Source organism: Homo sapiens, chromosome 20 (genome assembly GCF_000001405.40).
Source record: "Homo sapiens chromosome 20, GRCh38.p14 Primary Assembly".
In the NCBI taxonomy this organism is placed as follows: domain Eukaryota; kingdom Metazoa; phylum Chordata; class Mammalia; order Primates; family Hominidae; genus Homo; species Homo sapiens.
The window spans coordinates 51,485,350-51,504,796 of record NC_000020.11 but is presented as its reverse complement, the minus strand read 5'-3'; the positions used below and the strand labels follow the sequence as shown (position 1 = coordinate 51,504,796).

General features: G+C 48.9%; 1 protein-coding gene across 12 annotated transcripts in view, besides 3 other annotated features; it reads left to right on the top strand.

Moving 5' to 3' along the window:
* The window catches only part of NFATC2 (nuclear factor of activated T cells 2), a 175,877-nt gene that overhangs the window by 58,043 nt on the left and 98,387 nt on the right, over positions 1 to 19,447 (top strand). The gene's annotated exons all lie outside the window — the stretch shown is intronic.
* Positions 7,096 to 7,225: an enhancer, noted in NCBI's record as "active region_18112". NCBI's record gives its function as "activates an Ori minimal core promoter by ATAC-STARR-seq in GM12878 lymphoblastoid cells {active_cell/tissue: GM12878}" and the evidence as "EXISTENCE:reporter gene assay evidence [ECO:0000049][PMID:35858748]".
* Positions 15,757 to 16,257: an enhancer, noted in NCBI's record as "H3K4me1 hESC enhancer chr20:50105077-50105578 (GRCh37/hg19 assembly coordinates)". NCBI's record gives its function as "activates a minimal SCP1, AML or CMV promoter by ChIP-STARR-seq in primed H9 embryonic stem cells {active_cell/tissue: H9 hESC(primed)}" and the evidence as "EXISTENCE:reporter gene assay evidence [ECO:0000049][PMID:30033119]".
* Positions 16,221 to 17,420: an enhancer, noted in NCBI's record as "MED14-independent group 3 enhancer chr20:50103914-50105113 (GRCh37/hg19 assembly coordinates)". NCBI's record gives its function as "activates an origin of replication core promoter dependent on BRD2, BRD4, P300/CBP and CDK7 cofactors, and independent of MED14, by STARR-seq in HCT116 cells {active_cell/tissue: HCT116}" and the evidence as "EXISTENCE:reporter gene assay evidence [ECO:0000049][PMID:35650434]".

The window sequence follows — 19,447 nt, the reverse complement described above, 5'->3', positions numbered from 1 at the left end:
TTCCATGCATAAATGGATGTAATCCTCCTAATATTTCTAGGCAGTACTTGAGACACAGAGAGGCTGTGCAACTTGTCTAAGGTTACACAGGAATTGGGGGAACCACGAACTAAACCTAGGTAGTCCAGCTCAAAAGCCCACGCTCTTAACTGCTTAGGCCACAAAGAAGAAATGGAAATCATTTTGTTTGTTTGTTTTTGTCTATTTCAATAGGTTTTTGAGGAACAGGTGGTGTTTGGTTGCATGAATAAGTTCCTTAGTGGTGAAGAAATGGAAATCTTTAACGACCTTGAGATAATTTTCCAGGTTGCTCCTGGGGGCTCTCATTGTTGCTCTAGCATTTTGAAAAATTCAGGAAACAGGCCAGGTACTTTGAGTCATGCCTATGATCCCAGCACTTTGGGAGGCCGAGGCTGGTGGATCACTTGAGGCCGGGAGTTCAAGACTGGCCTGGCCAACATGATGAAACCCCGGCTCTACTGAAAATACAAAAATTCCTGTAATCCCAGCACTTTGGGAGGCTGAGGCGGGCAGATCACCTGAGGTCAGGAGTTCGAGACCAGCCTGACCAACATGGAGAAACCCCATCTCTACTAAAAATACAAAATTAGCTGGGTGTGGTGGTGCATGCCTGTAATCCTAGCTACTCAGGAGGCTGAGGCAGGAGAATCGCTTGAACCCGGGAGGCGGAGGTTGCAGTGAGCCAATATTGCGCCATTGCACTCCAGCCTGGGCAACAGGAGCAAGACTCCATCTCAAAACAAGCAAACAAAAAAACCCCAAAAATTAGCTGGATGTGGTGGTGCATGCTTGTAATCCCAGCTACTCAGCAGGCTGAGGCAGGAGAATTGCTTGGACCCGAGAGGCAGAGGCTGCAGTGAGCCAAGATTGCACCACTGCACTCCAGCCTGGGTGACAGAGCAAGACTCTGTCTCAAACATTCAGGAAATAAATCCAGGCTGGTCAAGCATCAAGTGAGATTGTTTCTTCATCAGGTTGTTCAGGCTTTTGTCATCCATTGGTATCTACCCTGCCCCAGCCTCCTCTCCCTGTGTTTGGCTACAGCAGCCTGAAGGCCCCTCCCAGGCAGAGGTAGAACAACAGTGGCTCATGGGGCAGGTGCAGCCTCGCTGTGGGCTGCTGTTGACACCCCCAAGCATGTCCTCCTGTGAGTGGCCTGACCCAGGGCAGCTGGGCCCAGAAGCATCTGAGAGTAGAACCTGGGGAGCCTAGTGGCCTGAGCCTGGGCCCTCCGATGCCCGCCTCCTCCAGGAGGATGAGCTCCCAGTGCAAATGGTGGTACATTGAGATGGTCATGGGACCTACCTGACCCTTGCCCTCCAGCCTGAGTTGTTCTCACCATACTAGTGGCATGACTGTGAGCAAGGATAATTTGACCTTCTGGGGCTTCAATTTGCCGAAGAAGCAAATTGGAGAGAATGTTACTTGTCTTTTAGGATTTTTACAGGAGTCAATGAGAACGTGTGTAAAACACCACTTAGCACAGTGCCAAGTGCAAACTGCTCTAGTTTCTTTCATAAATTGATTTTGGGGAAATGCATTCACATGGTGCACAATTTGAAAGGTATTAATACAAGCTGTGTACAGGGCAAGGTCTTCCCTCATACCTAGGTGGCCACCTCGTCTTCCTAAGCCCCAGTGCCATTGGTTCTCTGGACATCCCGCCAGAGATAGTCTGTGTTTGTGCTTGAGGTTGTATTCGTGGTCTTTGTTGCCGTCATTATCAGAATTATAATGTATGAAGGATTTGGCATACTGCTCAGCACATTTTACCTTCCTAATAAATGATCAAGACAGTTATTACTGCTCAACTTAGGAAGCCATTGCATTTTCATTTTTCTGAATAAGAAGTGAAGCTGAATTGATCCTCTTGACATCATTTATTTAACCAAGTAGGCTCTTCCCATGAAACTGAGGTTTCTACTAAGTGAATCCCATGTTCCTATTTGACATTTATTGTAAAACTGTAAATGCTGTCCTAGGAATAGTTTTTGGAACCTGTATCAGGTGAATATTGATTAAACCTTGCCTTTGCTTGAACCCTGGCTTAGTGACATAAAATAAACCCTCAGGACACACTTGCCTTGTCATGTATCTATCCGTCTCTCCTTCCTCTATCCATCAGAAAATGATACAGCAGGGCCAGGCATGGTGGCTCATGCCTGTAATCCTAGTACTTTGGGAGGCTGAGGCACAAAGATCACTTGAGGCCAGGAGTTCGAGACAAGCTTGGGCAACATTACCAGACCCTTGTCTCTACCAAAAAAAACACAAAAACAAAAAATTAGCTGGGCGCAGTGGAACATGCCTGTAGTCTTGGCTAGTTGGGAGGTTACAGTAGAAGGATTCCTTGAACCTGGAGATGGAGGCTGCAGTGAGCTGTGATCATGCTACCACACTCCAGCCTGGGCAACAGAGTGAGATCCTGTCTCAAAACAAACCCCAAACAGTAAAGATAAAACCTGATTAGTAGATAGTTTAGCAAGGGCATGGTGCCATGGTCAAAATGCAGCAATAAAAGTGTTGAGTGGGATTATGAGTGGTTTTCCTCTTATCTTGTATTTATTCAACAAACATTGGGCTTCTACCACATACCAGGCATTGTGTTAGATGCTGCCTGCTCAGTTTGGTCCATGGATTGGTGGCCTGGATATCCTCTGGGAGCTCATGAAGAATGCAGAATCTCAGGCCCTGCTGCAACTTAATCTGTGTGCACATTCGAGTTTGAGACACATTATTCCAGAAAAAGAGTCGTCAAACTATGCCAGCCAAATTCGGCGCATCACCTGCTTTTTGAAATAAGGTTTTATTGATACACAGCCACACCTACGTATTTGCATATTGTCTCTGGTTGCTTTTGTACCACTGCAGCAGAGGTGAGTACTTGCAACAGAGACTGTATGTGTGGCCTGCAGAGCCTAAAATGTTTCCTATCTTGTCCTTTACAGAAAAAGTTTGCTGACTGGAGATGGAGATAGAGTAATGAACAGAATAGATAAAATCCCGAGCTCTCGTGGAGGTGGGCTTCTGGTGGAGGGAGACCTATAACAAATCAGTAATTCCACAATCTGTCAGGTTGTAAAAAAGCTATAAGAAGAAAAATAAGGCAGGAATGGGGGATGGAAAGTGACTGGGAAGTGGTGAGGATGCTATTTAGGGAAGAACTTCCTGAAGGGGTGCCGTTTGAATGGAATTTTGAGTGCAGTGAGGGAATAAGCTGTGTTGCTATCTTGGGAGCCAGCGTGGTAGGAAAGGGAGCAGCCAGTGCTGAAGCCCTGAGGCAGAAGCTTGCTTGGTGTCCACCTTGAGCATCAGTACAGAGGTTGGAGCCAGCTGAGTCTGATTCAGGAGTTAAGTGTTGATGGTGAATGAGGTTTTTGGTTTCCATGTCAGCTTCCCTGTGGCATTTCAGTGCCTTTTATAAGACCATGGAATGTAGATAGAGGTCCCCAACTCATAACCCAGGGAAATCTTCTGTGTGTCACTGGATACAGTTGCACAGGCTGTGCATGGCACAACAGCTGTGTGTATCATGAGGGTGCCATTCACATTTGCAGGTTTATTAAGACAGTGTTCTGACGCATACCTGCCAAAGGTATAGAGGAAGTGTTGTCTGCTGTGAAGCTGCATGAAAGTGCCAGACAAGCCAGCAGTGAGTGGCCCTGGTGGTATAATGGTTTAAGAGAGAAAAACCATCTGTGTTTGAGTGTCTTTAGGTTGGGAACTTGGTTCCTCAGTCTTTGCACTGGTTGCCAGCTCATTTTCATTACTTGCCTGGCCCCTTAAGGTGTTTGTGTTGAACTCTGATAGCAAGAAAGGTGTTTCTGCTAGTCTAAAACACTTCCCACTCCATTCTTTTCCTTTCTTTTGGATGGAGCTTTTGTTGGTTCCTCCTTCTCACCCTCTGACTGACCAGACTGCCTGGGAGGGTGAGGGTGGGGGTGGGGGTGAGGGTGGTGAGTGTGGGGGTAGAGGTGCGGGGTGGTGAGTGTGAAGGTGGAGGTGGGGTGGTGGTGAGGGTGGGGGTGGTGGGGGTTGGTGAGGGTGAGGGCGAGGGTAGAGGTGCGGGGTGGTGAGTGTGGAGGTGGGAGTGGGGTGGTGGTGAGGGTGGGGGTGGAGGGGGGGGTGGTGAGGGTGAGGGTGGAGGGGTGGGAGCATTCTTGGCTTCCTCTTCTGCCTGAGCCTCGCTGTGCAACCTCAGCCCACATACTTCTCACTGAGCTGTAGGAGCCTCTGCCCTAAAACGAGTGGGTAGGGCTCTGTAAGTTCCCTCCTACCTCTAAACTTACTTAATTCTATGACTCAGAGTAATAGGTATCACCCAAGTAGAAGTGCCTATGTTTAGTTTTGTTCACTTTGAGGTGGGAGTTCCAACTTCTCTTCAACTTGGGTTGCCTTAACTTGCAACTCCAGGGTTGATTCATTCAGGGACTTGAAGCTGTTAAGCTGTCATTTTTTCTATTAAAAATTTTTTTTAAAGAGTTTGGGGATAATTGAGCTAGAAGGAGACTTAGAAATCATCTAGTTGGATGACTGGTGTGTCTGATTCATGTATCATTTTACTGAGGGTTTCAGCTACCATTTTACTGAGGGCTCTGGTTATCATTTTATTGAGGGATTCCTACGTGCCAGACCTTTTGCTAAACTAAAGTTGTCTCATTCAATCTCATACTGAGTACTTGAGGGTAGGTACTGTCATGATCAGTTTTCAGGTGGCCAAATAGAGGTTCAGAGAGATTATATGAAATTTTAATATAAAGATAATACAGCAACTAAATTGGCAGAGCCACGACTCAGATCATTAAAGGCAGAGGTTAGAAAAGTATTACTTATTGAGCATGTACAATAGGCCAGACATTAAGAGAAGACTTGCATTAACCATTGTAACCCCATGAATTGGGTTCTACTATCTTACAAATGAAAAAACTGAGCCCCAGAGAAATGTGACTTGCCTGAGGTAAAGCTTTTACAGGTAGGAAGCAGAAGTGTTTTAGATTTCTTTTTCTTTCTTTCTTTCTTTCTTTTTTTTTTTTTAAGATGGAGTCTTGCTCTGTCATCCAGGCTGGAGTGCAGTGGTGCGATCTCGGCTCACTGCAACATCTGCCTCCGGATTCAAGCGATTCTCCTGCCTCAGCCTCCAAAGCAGCTGGTATTAGCCACCACGCCTGGCTAATTTTTGTATTTTTGGTAGAGACGGGTTTCATCATGTTGGTCAGGCTGATCTTGAACTCCTGGCCTCAAGTGATCCACCCACCTTGGCTTCCGAAAATGCTGGGATTATAGGCATGAGCCACCGTGCCCGGCCGCGTTTTAGATTTTGAATCTCTTTCTCTTTCTCATCTGCTTCTCTTTGCCTTGTGATCTTTTATGGGCATCCAGTTGGCCTGTTGGCCTTCCTCACAGTTCTGTGCATCTGTGTGGGAGCTGGGCTCGGGGTAGGGTGCTCAACCATTTCTTACCTCCTCCCCTCTGTCACCTGGGGCCAAGCTAGCATCATCTCTTGTCTGGGTGACAGCCTCCTAACTGGTTTCCCTGCCTCCACTTGCACCCTTCATTCATCTGCTCCCCACACAGCTGCCAGAGGATCTGTTCAGAGTGTACCTTGGTCTACACCACCCCCATTCTGAGCCCTCCTGTGTCTCCCCTCCCGGAGTATAGATGCAGAGTAGCCTTGTGCTCCTCACCGTGGACCAGGCCGTGTCACCCGGTCCCTGCCTGCCTCTCTTCCTCACTCACTCACTCCCTCACTCCATTCCCACCTGCTAATGGCCTCTGTGCTATTCCTCAAACACTCCAGGTAGGCTCCTGCCTCAGGGCCTTTGCACGTGCCTTTCACTCCTCCCAGCTATCCACATGGCTACTTTCTCTGCTTCATTCAGCTGTCAGCTCAATTGTCACCTCCTCAAAGCAGCTTCCCCTGATTCTCCTACCAAAATAGATCCCCTTTCTCTCCTGCCATCATCTGTCTTTCTACTTAGGTGTTTGTTTTGAGATGAAGTCTCACTCTGTTGCCTAGGCTGGAATGCAGTGGCTCAATCTTGGCTCACTGCAAGCTCCACCCCCTGGGTTCAAACAATTCTCATGCCTCAGCCTCCTGAGCAGCTGGGACTACAGGTGCATGCCACCATGCCTGGCTAATTTTTGTATTTTTAGTAAGGATGGGGTTTCGCCATGTTGGCCAGTGATCTGGCCTCAAGTGATCTGCCTGCCTCGGCCTCCCAAAGTGCTGGGATTACAGGCGTGAGCCACCATGCCTGGCCTCTGTTTGTTTCTTTTTTTCCATAGCCTGATATATGTTCTCTCTTCCTTTCCTCCTCCCTTCCAACCCCTTCACCCACCTACTCATCCACCCCCCTGCCACACATTCATCTTTCATCTCCTTCATCGTTGCTTCATCCCCAGTCCCAAGCACAGTGCCTGTCACATAGTAGGTACTTCATCTATCTCAAGAACAGCGGTTGAGAGGTTGTTGCTGCTGCTTTGAGGCTTTGGTGAGCCCCGCTGTGTCTGGCCTCTCAGATGAACAGTGCCCTGGGAGTCTGGGTGATGGATGTGCTGGCGTAGGCGGCTCCTTGGTGGCTTTCCTGTGCTAAAGGAAGCAGAGGAAGGAAATGACAACCATTCAGAAGGACCGGTTCAGTTCACTAGGACATGCCCAAGCTTCCCGGCCCCTCGTGTCTGTGGCCAACATGAATTGGGCTCGCTTGAGGCCAACAGAAGTCGTGACTTGATGGAATAGGCACAAGTTAGTTTTATGATGATTAAGAAGGAAAAAAAGAAAACCTTATTTTTCACTTTCCTTTTTTAATCAAGAAGTATGCCGTGGGTGTTCCCTTGTGGTTTTTGAGTCAAAGAGAGTATTGTTTTTGAGCTCTGAGTTCCCCCGGGGGCTGCAGCTTTGCGTGTATCTAACTTTAACTTTGAACTAATGCTTTTAGGGCTCTGGTGGGATTGGGGGTCCCGGGTCCCTTTCTGAACAAGGCAGCAGGCTTGTTTATTGTGTCCAAAGCGTGCCTCTCAGATCTCACCCCATCTTCTTCCTGTTCTCAATCGCCCCCTCCCTGGCCAATCTGCCCCTCCTCTCAGCAGTTCCCCCTCACTCCTCCGTGAGCAAAGGAGGGGGAAGGATCTGCTTTGGTGGAAGGCGGTGGCTGCAGAGGCTGGGCTCAGGCGAACGTCTATCATGGGGGGAGGCGTGGAATAAGCCATGAGTACCCAAATGTGGCCTTGTTTGCAGGGATTGAACAAGGGTGGTCTGGGGCTGGACCGGGGGTTTCAGCCAAGTAATATTGGGGTGAAAAATGCAGAAAAGTCTTGTGCAAAAATGGGATCATATTAAGTTCATGCACTGGCCCTAAAGCAACCCCGTGACTATGTCTCTAGAGCAAGTGCTTACACATCCACGTGGACTCGTTCTCACGTGCATCTTCTTTTTGCATTTATCTTTTGGTGGATTGTTATTTTTCTTGCTGCGGGAGGGAGAAGAATGATTGGCCCAAGTGCACCTTGACTTTGGACCCGAAGTTGTTGAAGTCGTGAGGCAGACACATTGCTGCGCTTGCCTTGGGCAGAGACAGAGCCTCGGAGGGTGCCTGGTTTGGTAGAAGTTAGACTTTGGGAAGCTTGTTGGGACTTGTTAGTAACCTGGGTGCTAGTCCCAGCTTGTAACCAAGCCCCTGTCCCCTCTCAGGGCCAGGATGGGAGTGACATTTCTCAGTGTGGGGCTTTGCAGCATCACTTGAAGCCCTCTGCAGAACCCCATTAAGCTGCGGAGAATGGAGTGGATTCTAGCCCCTGCCACCCTGCCTGGGGCCTTCCAGGGCTGTCGCGGCAGCCAGGATAGGCAGCAATGCCCATTCAGTCAACAGATGCTGAATGTGAGCTGTGTACTCTGGATAGAGGGAGAAATGAGATCAATTCTTGCTTTCAGGGAGTGCCCAGTCTGCTGGGAGAAACAGACGGGAAAATAATTGAGGTCACAAGGGGATTGGTTGAACAAAGAATAGCAGGAAAGATGGAGCCGGATGACCTGGGTTTGAATCCTGGTTCTGCCACTTATTGGCTTTGTGACCCTGGGCAAGTTACTTAACTTCTCTGTGCCTGTAAAGTAGGATGATAATAGTACCCCAAAAAGAGGTTACCATAAATACTGAAGCAGAGGGCCTGACAGTATGTGTCCAATTAATGTTAGTGATTCTTTGTTTATAGAGATAAGACCTATAATAGAGAGATAAGGACTATAAAAGAAGGAGAAGGTAGTGAGGCTCTGGGTCACAAGGTTCACTTTGCCTCAGGGAATCTGGGGCAGCTTCCTGAGGAGGTGACATTTGAGTGGGGGGCGGGGGGTGGTTGCAGGATGTAAAGGAAGAATGGTCCAGGCTTCAGGGGTGTGCAGAGGTGAGGGAACTCTGTTTCTGATTGCTCAAGACCTGAGCCTGTCCACAGATGGCATTTGACACGCTCAGGGCTTTAAGCAGCAGCTGACACTAGTTAACCAACATTTACAAATTAGGAAATTTCTCATACCAAGTTGGATTTCTAACAATCAGAAGATCTGGCAACAATGGCTGGCTTCCTGCATGGCAAGTTGTGAACAGCTGCGCTTCGATCCTCCCTTTGGACTGGATCTGCCTCCCGCATGGGGTCTCAGCACCACTAGGCCCAGTTCACACACCCACATTCCTCACCTGGCTCCTCTGGGCATCTTGTTGGTGACCCTGGGTGGGGGTTTGGAACCTGCTTTGGAAATGCTTAGAAAAATAAACCCAGATCTTGCTGACCTTCACGTCCAAGTGTTTGCTCAAGGCCTCTTTTTAATATAAAAAAGATGCTCCCGACTGTAAAGCTGGCCTTACCTTCCTACTTTAGCATCCTCCTCCTGGGAAAAATGGGAGTCCGCTCTGATCCACAGGTTTCCCACAGGGACAGAGGAGGGATGATTGAGGTGTGAGTTAGAGTCCCCTTCAGATGGCATGGTGGCATGTAGACCCAGCCAGTGCATGGGACGTGAGCTCTCTTACACCTGGGGGTGTGCATGTGGGTGTTTACTATTGGCTTCAAACACAGAAAGTGACAAAATTGAACTCCACGAATTTGTAAGAGGGAGTGAGTCAATTTTCCTTGGTCCCGGCAAACTCCATGCTTGCTAAAAATGAGTGCTGTAGAATTTATTTGCCTTCTGTCATCAAAGAAAACCCAGGTTCAGAACTGGATAAGACAGTTCCCCAGAGAGGACAGATGATCTGTCTGTACTCACACATCAACAAGTTCTCTCTTGGGCATTTACGATGGAATGTGTCCCCCTCACCCCTTTAAATTATGGAGAAGCTGTGTTCTCTTTGAGGTGAATATGCGGTCACACAAGTCTTTTTAAGAAAGGAGGCTTTCCAGCCATGTGTGCTGGCTCATGTCTATAATCCCAGCACTTTGGGAGGCTGAGGTGGGTGGATCACTTGAGCCCAGGAGTTCAAGACCAGCCTGGGCAACATGGTGAAATCCCGTGTCTACAAAATAAAACCCAAAAATTAGCTGGGTGTGGTGGCACGTGCCTGTTGTCCCAGCTACTCCAGAGGCTGAGGGGGGAGAATTGCTTGAGAACAGGAGGCGGAGGTTGCAGTGAGCTGAGATGGTGCCACTGCACTCCAGCCTGGGTGATGAGTGGGAAGCTGTCTAGAAAAAAAATAAAATGAGGTTTAGGGTCTAGCTGGGATTCTGGCTCTGCTGAGCTGGGTTGGTTCTTACTTTGCCCCCACCTGGAGGCAATTGCTGTAGCACAATGCCCATGTTGGGATTGGGTGTCCACTTGGGGGCTGTGCTGACCTCCTTTCCAAGTGTGGATGACTAGCAGGAGGGGGACACACCAGCTGGCAGTCACGTTCAGGACAGTATGTGACCATCACCTTGGTAGTGGCTTTTCTCAGTGGACAGAGGACCTCAGAGCTGGAGCCCAGGGTTTTACCGGGGATTCAATAATCCTTAAGAAGTCAGAGTTGAGCTTTCCCCTCTTACGACAAACTTCATTTCCTGTTTCATCAAAAAGTTCTTCCTGGCAAACTGTGGCTTCTCAGCCTGTCACCTCTCTGCCACGGGAGGTGAGAACCTCTCCCATGCTGTGAGATGACTGAGCCGCGGCCTTGTTTATGGAAGCCAAGTGCCAGTCCCTCAAGGCGCGTGGGTTCTCAGCCCTAGGATTCAGGATGGAGCCGTGTTCAGCTCTGGGCAAGGGTAGGATGCTGACTCTGTGCACAAAGACCTGCACGTAGTAGTAGCAGAAGAAAAGGGCCTTGGGGCCTTAAATAAAGGTGAGGAGTGGGGAGCCCCTCAAGAGCGAAGTGTGAGGGAATTACTGACGTGTGCCGCATTTCCACTTGAAAGTAAAATAAAAATGTTTAAACAAAGAGGAAATAGGAGGAGCAGGTGTAGCAGAAAAGCCACCAGCCAGGGAAGCCGCCAGATTTGCTTTTGATTTCCAGTGGCACCCGCCCTGTGCCGGACACCTTAGGCAGCTGACTTAGCCTCTCTGAGCAAACCCATGGAAATTCAGTGCCTGGTGCCCACTCCGCGTGGAGAAGGAGGGGAGCACTGGGGTCCTGTCCTTCCTCATGTCCACATTCAAAAGAGGACTCATAACCAAGCAAAGTAACGGTGACCGAGCTGCCTGAGATGGCTTGGAGGAAGGTCTGAAATGGGTGACGATGGTGGCGATGATGGTAACTGTTGACGCTCACTGAGCACCCACTCTTTGCCAGGCACTGTACCCATTATATCGTCTAATCTTTGCCACAGCTCATGGGGCATGGGATGGGCATCTGTTATTTTCCCCTTTGCAGAGGTGAGGGCTCAGAGGTGTGGCCAGCTTTCCGCAGCCCCAACCAGTCTCGGATCTGAGACTTGGTTGGTTCTGAGCAGGCTGATGGTCAAGGGTGTCACGTTCCGGGCTGGCTCTTTGCTAAGCGTTTGATGCCCATCACAGTGGGGAGCAGCTCTCTGGGGACATGGTGCTGAGGTTGCCACTGATGAGAGGATTGGACAGGGACCAAGCTGCTCTCAATGTGATCGACTCTGTTCCTGTCTCTCAGCATGCCCCGCCTCTCAGGGAATAGGCCCAGTGGGGTTTCCCTGCGGTGACGTTGAACCAGTGTCTGCTGCATTCGAGGGGCCTCAGATGGAGCTGCTATCTGAATCCAGGGCCCCGGTGAGTGAGACTCATAGTCGGGGTGGAAAGGTGCTCAAGTAATGAGAGGCTTTCTTTTATCGTAGATTCACTGTGTCAGTCTGGGACATTCCCTCTGTAAATGGGAGGTGCCTAGAAGATCAAAATCATTTCTCTAGCATGTTGTCAATTTCACATCACTCAGTTGCAATGTGAGGTCGCCAATCCCCATTCTATGCCCATAACAGCCCCATGAGAAAACGACAAGAATTACAACAAGATGAAGGCCAACGTTTACTGAGCGCTTACTATGTGTCGCCACTGGTTCTAAGAGCTGTGCTTATACCAATTCATTGGGTCCTGGCAACTCTATGAAATGTACAAGTGCTTTTTTCTATGTGACACATGTGTCAAAGAGTCAGAGTGACCTGCCCAAGGTCCACAGCCAGCGAGTTCAGCAGTTGGGACTTGAGCTTGTGTCTGCCGACTCCCTAGCCCCCAGTCTAAACTGTTGGACCCCACTGCTCTGGAATCTTCTTCTCCTGGTTTCCTGATGGCAAAACTGGGACCCAGATGGTTCTAGTGGATTTGCAGATGCCACATGGTTCACCAGAGGCCCAGGCTGGGAGGCACACGATCGCATCCTCCTGGAGCCTCTGGCCCCAAGCTGCAAACTCCAATGCTGACGCTACAGTTCCATGAGCCCGTGGATACGTCGCTGACCGAGGAACCCAGGGCGACATGAAAGGAACACGCTTGGCCTTGACAGGCCCAGCCCCGGCCGGCGCTCACTTGGAGGCAGTTGAAAGGAAAACTGCGATAAGGGGCTGCTTTATCACGCCTCTTGACAGGCCGAGCTTCCTCCCTTGTGTGGCGTGAGCCTTAAACCTCTTCCAAGTCGCCTGGCATGGAGCCCCGGCCGCCTCCTGCTCCCCAAGGGCTGGAGCGGGGAGCCCATTAGCCAGTGGGAGTGGGAGCGGGCCCGGGCGGGTGCCAGCCCTTTGAAGCCGCGCAGAGGGCCCCGCACAGTCCCCTTATCTTGGCTGGTGGTGTTCCTCGGCCGGAAAAGGGAAGCACAGAGAGGAAAAGCTTTCCCCTGTGGCTTTTGTGTTTGGTTCGCATTAAATGAGGCTGGGCGGGGTTTTTGTTGTTTGTTTTCCAACTTTTCAGCGAAAGGATGACGGATGACGTTTAGCGCAGCAGGCGCCCACTTCTCTGGGGTGGCGTGCCCATGTCATGCCGCACTCACGCACACTCCTGCCTGTTGATTGCGCAGTCTCCTCTGTGTCTTTTCTAGAAGCTGGGGGGCTGCCCAGGTCGTCCTGAGAATAGCGGCGGGGTGCGGCGGGGCTCGGTGGTGCCAGCGGGTGGAGGCTGTGAATCCATTCACTCTGAGGCCCTGGCAGCCAGGGACCTCGTCTAGACAGGAAGATGTGTGTGATGGGATTTAAAGATGAGGCTCTCCCTCCTGCTGGGGCGAGAAGGCTCTAGGAGCCTTGGGGCCGAGGTGATTTGGTTTGTAGGATTTGCGCATTTCTGGGATGTGCAGGGATGCGGCTTTCTCCAGATCTAAGGGGAGCCCGGGCCAGTGAACAAGGGGTGTTCATGGCACTCCGGGGGCGCGGGGCTGGGGGTATGTGTGTGCAGGCCAGACCATAGCAGGGTCCTCATAAGCTTTCACAGGGAGTAGGGCTGGGGCAAGGGGTGTGTGTGTGTGTGTGTGTGTGTGTGTGTGTGTGTGTGTGTATGTGTATGTGTGTGTTGGTGGGGGTGGGGCTGTTCTCAACGAGCAGATGTGAAAATCAATGGGAGAAGAGAGTAAGAGATGGGCAGACTGCAATCTGAGTAGTTATGCACCTAAACAGATGCACACAGAGACCTATGGGTGCCCAGGAGTGTCCTGGAGCCCGTTTTCGTGGCCTTGTGAGAGCTGATTTTTAAAGTTCCAGGAACTCTGTTACATGTTGTTCTGACCTATGTGCCTGAGGTCATAGGCATCCGTGTATCCACATGGCGGAGGTAGCACGTAATGGTGCCGCTGCACTTCTCCTCCCAGCTCCATATACAGTATCGTCACACCGGGAGCTGGAAATCAGCCACTGTGGGAGTGTTGACACCGTGGAAATGGGCAAACACTGCAAAGCAAGCTTTCTGTCTTGGAGAACTGGTCGTTGAATATTTCCTGGTCTACCATTGCATACCTCACAGGCACAGCGCATGCAAACCCAGAGCAAGGAAGACAGACAGACGGGCTACCTGAACGAATGCCACTTTTTAGTTTTGGGAAAATACATTACATTTTTATACATTGGTTGATTTCCCTCTTCTTTTTTTTTTTTAACCTTGTCCATTTTATGCATGTGGAAGAATCACTCAGAGATAGGGCCATGGCTTCACCAAGCTGCAGAAGGGGTCATTGGTGCAAAAAAAGGTTAAAAATTTGTGCCCTGGAGCCAGGAGATGATTTTCCTTTTCTAGTCCTCTCTCTGAATACAGGACATTCTCCTAGCTTGTGGGCAGGCAGTGGTACTTTTTCTCTCCTGGTAAAGAGTCCTTAGCAGACCTCCTTGGGTCCTTTTGCAGAGGTTTGCTGAGCACCTCTTGTGTCTGGGCACTGACCTGGGTGGTTTTCTTAATCATCCCTTGATGATCTACTGGCTTTGGAGATGGTGGCTTCCCATCTTGGGGCTCCCCAAACCCAGTGCTTCAGCACCTCCTCTGCTGTACTTTGAATGCCAGTCCTGTGCTCTGCAAACCATGGTTCCCTGGGAAAGGAGCATGTTGATTAATGTTGTGTTACTTAGTCAGCATTTTTAACATTTATAATTATTTTATTTTTAAATTTTTTTTTATGTTACCCAAGCTGGTCTCAAACTCCCGGGCTCAAATAACCTTCCTGTCTCACTCTCCCAAGTAGCTGGGACTACAGGCATGTGCCACCGTGTGTAGCTGCTATAATTATTTTAATGGCACCTTTATTTCATTGTGTATTTATGCACACATTTGATTTCCTGCTGGTGATCCTGGTTTCCTATTTATGGCAGCAACATAAAGTTTCTTTCAAGATAAATTTCTGTAAGTAAAGATATGAATTTAAATTGTGGAGAGATTCAGTAACCAACAGTCCAGTAGAAGATCAGGAATAAGGCTGGAAAATGACTGAGGTTGGGGAACAGTGGTGTGTCCATTTGTGGCTGTGTATTCTTCCCTCTTTAGAGACTACAGGAACAGAAGATCGTATAGTTGTCAAGAGAATGGGTCTTGGAGGTAGACCTGCCGTGTTGGAATCCTGGCTTCTCTCTTCTTAGCTGCATGACCTTGAACAAACTAATTTCTCTGAGCCTCAGTTCCCTCTTGTTTAAAATTATAATACCTCTCTCATAGCGTTGCAGTGAAGATTGATAGATATCATAGTGAAGATTGATAGATATCATACATCACAATGCCCTGTATTTAGCAAGCACGCAATACATTATTAGCTGTCATTGTTGTTGTTATTATGATTAATTATAGCATCTCCCTATTATCCAGTTTTCCCCAGCATGGCCCTTTTTGTGAATAGGCAGAACTTAACAAATATTTGTTGACTTGAATTGAATTTTAAATGTTTAGAAAGCTGCCAGGCCTGGCACCTTTTAACCAGGAAAAAGCAATTCGGAAACCAGACAGAAAGTAAGCAGCAATTTTATTTCTAGTGAGGACCATCGTCATTCCTGCGTGTGTCAGACAGTCGTCTTTCCCCACTTCACCTCTCCTCTTGGGAATACCTTTCTAGACGTTCTTTTGGATTGTGAGTAAGAGGATGAGAACATTTGCAGACTGACTTGGGTGTCATTACTTGGTATGTTTCTGAGCAGTTGAATCATCTGACTCTTTGTACATGGCAGTTTCTTTCAGATTCTCTTTTGGCACTGGCTTTTCAGAGAAATCATTGTTTTTGAAGCCTTTGGTAAAGCAGGCCGGTGCACGTATCCATGTGCCATTTGTACCTTGAGTTTGTTTAACCAGAAGCCGCCTAGACATGGTTGTCTTACTGTCTTTGCAATGCAGTTGAGAAGAAGTTGAATGAAGGAGTGGGGGACTTGATGTGATGCTGATGGGCTGATGAGTCCTTCAATTAGACTTAGGTTTAATTACCTCTAACAGAAAACCCCAAATAACAGTTGCTTCTCATCTAAGAATGTAGAAAATCTAGAGATGGGTAGTCCAAAGTGCTATGAAGTCATTAGGAATCTGGGTTCCTTCTTACCTCCTGTTCAACTCCAGGTCACCTCAGGGTTCAAAATGATTGCTGGGGCTGCAGCTACCACCTCTATACTCCAAGCACTGGAATTCCAAGGAAGGAGGGAGATAGGGCCAAAGGGGCCCCCCTCACCATCTTGGTGAGCTTCCTCCCAGGAACTCTTCTGCAAGTCATCTGCACACTTCTTTTTTTTGAGACAGTCTCACTCTGTTGCCCAGGCTACAGTGCAGTGGCACGATCTTGGCTCACTGCAACCTCTGCCTCCTGGGTTCAAGCGATTCTCCTGCCTCAGCCTCCTGAGTAGCTGGGATTGCAGGCGCCCGCCACCCTGTCTGGCTAATTTTTGTATGTTTAGTAGAGACGGGGGTTTCGCCATGTTGGCCAGTCTGGTCTTGAACTCCTGACCTCAAGTGATCCGCCTGCCTTGGCCTCCCAAAGTGCTGGGATTACAGGCATGAGCCACTGCGCCCAGCTTGAATGTAATTCTTTATGCACTGGGAAGCCATGGGGGGATTTTAAGTAGGGAAGTGATAGGATCTCATTTGCTTTTAAAAGATCCCTCTGGCTGCTTGTGGAGATTCTATTCAGGATAGGGACAAGGGACAAGGCAGAAATTAGCGAGAGGCTGGATGCAGGGGTCCAGGTGAGAGATGACAGTGCTGGGACCCAGGGAGGTTGATGAGAACGTGAAAAGTGGGAGGATCTGGGGTGTTTCTTGAAGGTCCCGTTGAACAACACTTTCTGATGGACAAGGGATAGGGTTTCAGTGCAGATTTTCTGTTTCCCCTCCTCATAAATGTTAGCTTAATTTAAGAATGTTTCTCAATAGGAGTGATTTCGTGTCCCAGGGGACATTTAGCAATGTCCAGAGACTTTTTTGTGCATCACAGTTGGGAAAAGGGTGGCTGCTGCTACCTACTGGGTAGAGTCCAGTGATGCTGACAAACACCCTACAATGCCTGGGGCAGCCCCCGACAAGAAAGACTTATTTGGCCCCCAAATCAATAGTCCACACTGGCCAATAGTGCGAAGGTTGAGAAATCCTGATTTACTGGTTTCTTACTCCAATGTCTTAAATTCTGGGATTATGATAATCCCACATGTTACCATCCATCCAGAGAAGCACCCGATTCTTCACCAAAGGAATGTGTATTAATAATCCTGAAGGACAGCCTTCAGCTTAATCTTCTTTCCTGAGAGGCACTTTGCTGCGTGAATGACTAAACGGAGGAGTGAATGAACTTGGGAACGGCCCCGATGAAGAGGTGAGTCAGACTGGCTCAGCCCACAGGCTTCCATCATGTTTATGGAAGCCAGGCCCCATACGCTCCACATAAGAACGGGCCCCTTGTTCCTGAATGATGCGTTTTGTTGATCTGCCAGTGGGTCCCGCCTCTCCCCAGGTCACCGACAGAGCCCGTCTCAGCGCCGTCTCGCCGTGCTGAGTCTAAGAGTTATGCAGAGAGCCCTCCAAAAACCCACCCTTTGAAATGAAAGAAACTGGATCTTAAAATCCCAAAATAGAGTGTGGAAAGGTACACATCACGTCTGCCTTCTCCTTTTTTTTTTTCCCCCTTGTGGCAAAAGTGACTCAGAATTTTTGGTCTGAATCCAGAGAGACCTGCACAGTCTTTGGTGTGGGGGCGGAGGTGTCATTCGATTGGGAATAACTCACCTTTTTTATGCCATGGCTGGCTCGGCCGGCTGTCCTGCATTTCCTCAGCCCTAGCTTTTGCCTCTTCACCATCTTGGGGTTCTTTTTCAGCTGTGGCTGTAGTGAAAGAGGAGAGGCCAGAGCTTATGGCTCATCCAGATGTCTCTGGTGGAACATTTTTTCAAAGCTGAACTGCAGTTTCCTGGGAATGTTTTTGTTTTTTAATTTAATTTTATTTTAAGTTCCGGGATACATGTGCCGGATGCAGAGGTTTGTTCCATAGGTAAACATGTGCCATGGTGGTTTGCTGCACCTGTCAACCCATCACCTAGGTATTAAGCCCTGCATGCATTAGCTCTTTATCCAGATAGTCTCTCTGCCCTGGCTCCCGCAGAGGAATGTCTTATCAATGTGTTCTGAAGCGGCTGCCATCCCAGCATCCCTGGGGCATTCACACACTGCCATGCTGGGCACGGTCAGGGCCAGATGCTTGCACGGAGTTTCTGCAAGCTGCATTCCCCAGTTGCCGTCTCTTGGGGATCCCCTGCTTCTCCCAGAGCCCAGGCCTCTGCAGATAGTAGATACCTTGTTTCCTAATATCAGGTCAGTGTCCTGAGTGAGAAACTCCGGGAGAAATGTTTCTGAAGGATGCTTTCCCCTTGTGTTCTGGTCTTCGGGTAAACACTTGGCAGCAGGGAGCACTGCGCATGCCTCACTTTTCCCTCGCCATCTCCATGAGCTGCCAGGCTGCTGTGCTTTCAATTCAATCTCAAGATTGTAAACTTCATTTTTCCAGCCCAAGTTAGTCTGCTCTTCTGACTTTCAGTGTAATTGGCCTGGTATAATATGTCTCTTTCATGGTGAGACACATTCCTGCAGACTGGCTCAAATGATAGTGAGCTTAGGCAGACTCCAAACGTAGGGATTCTGTTCCAGACATGAATGAGCCTCCTTTCTCAGAGTCGCTGGAGAATGAATCACTCGGCAATATGTGGATCCACATAGGAACCTGAGAATCAATCTATTCGTTTATTTATTCAGCAAATATTTATTGAACATCTACTGTATGCCAAATACCGTCGGAGGTGCTGAGGCATGGTGATGGACAAGCTTACATTCTAGTGGGGCGGGGGGTGGGAACAGGCAATAAGCAAACACATAAAGTAACACTTAGCACAGTCAGGAAGGAAATAAACAGGAAGACATGGTGGAATGATGCTAGAGGAGCTCTCTTTCTGCCAGGCTACCCAGGGAGGGCCCTGCATTTAGGCTGAGACCTGAAGGATCAGGAGGAACCAGCTGTGGGAAGACCCAGGGGAAGAATGTTCTAGGCCAAGGGCATAGCATATGCAAAGGCCCTGTGGCAGAAACGTGGCTTGTTCCAGGAGCAGCAAGGAGGCCCCTGTGGCTGGACTGGAGTTGGGGAGATGAAGCTGGTGATATGGGCGGGGGTCTGATCATGCAGTTTTGTCGGCTGCAATGGGCAGTTTGGATTTTCTTCTTCTTTTTTTTGTTTGAGGCAGTGTCTCGCTCTGTCACCCAGGCTGGAGTGCAGTGGCACGATCTTGGCTTACTGCAACCTCTGCCTCCCGGGTTCAAGCGATTCTCATGTCTCAGTCTCCTGAGTAGCTGGGACTACAGGTGCACGCCACCACGCTCGGGTCATTTTTGTATTTGTAGTAGAGACGGGGTTTCACCATGTTGGCCAGGCTGGTCTTGAGCTCCTGGCCTCAAAGAATCCACCCTCCTTGGCCTGGATCTTATTCTAAATGTACCTGAAGATCATGACATGTTAGCACTGAAAGACAACCTTCAAGATGATTTCTTCCAAGAACTGAGACCAGAAAAGAGGCCCTTAATTGCCACAAGTCACCCAGCCATAGATGAAAAAATATGAATGAAAGTTAATATTGATTGCTTGTGACATGCTTTATACACAGCCCACTTGTTCCTGCCAACAGCCTAGTGAGGTGTGCAGGGTCAGGAGCCACATTTACAGATGATGAAACTGAGGCCTGGAGATGTAAAGTAACTTTCCCGCCATGACACATTAAGTGCCAATGCCAGGATGTAAACCTAGATGGTTGGACTCCAGGGCTCAGACTCTTGATCTCAGTGTTACACTGGTTCTGCGCAAGAGGAATATAGACAGAAGATGTGAAAAGCACTTGTATGGCTTCTTAAAAAAAAAAAATCAACAAGAAAAAGCCCAACTTCAAAGGTCAACTCAAAGAAGGCTTGCATATTTTAATCCCATACTTCCAGACCCAGCTCCTATATGATGGTGGGGACGGGAATGTTGGTAGGGAGCCCGTGGCTGGGTTGACATCTCTGTCCAGGGGACCAGAAGCTGGAAGCTGAGAGTGGAGAGGGGCAG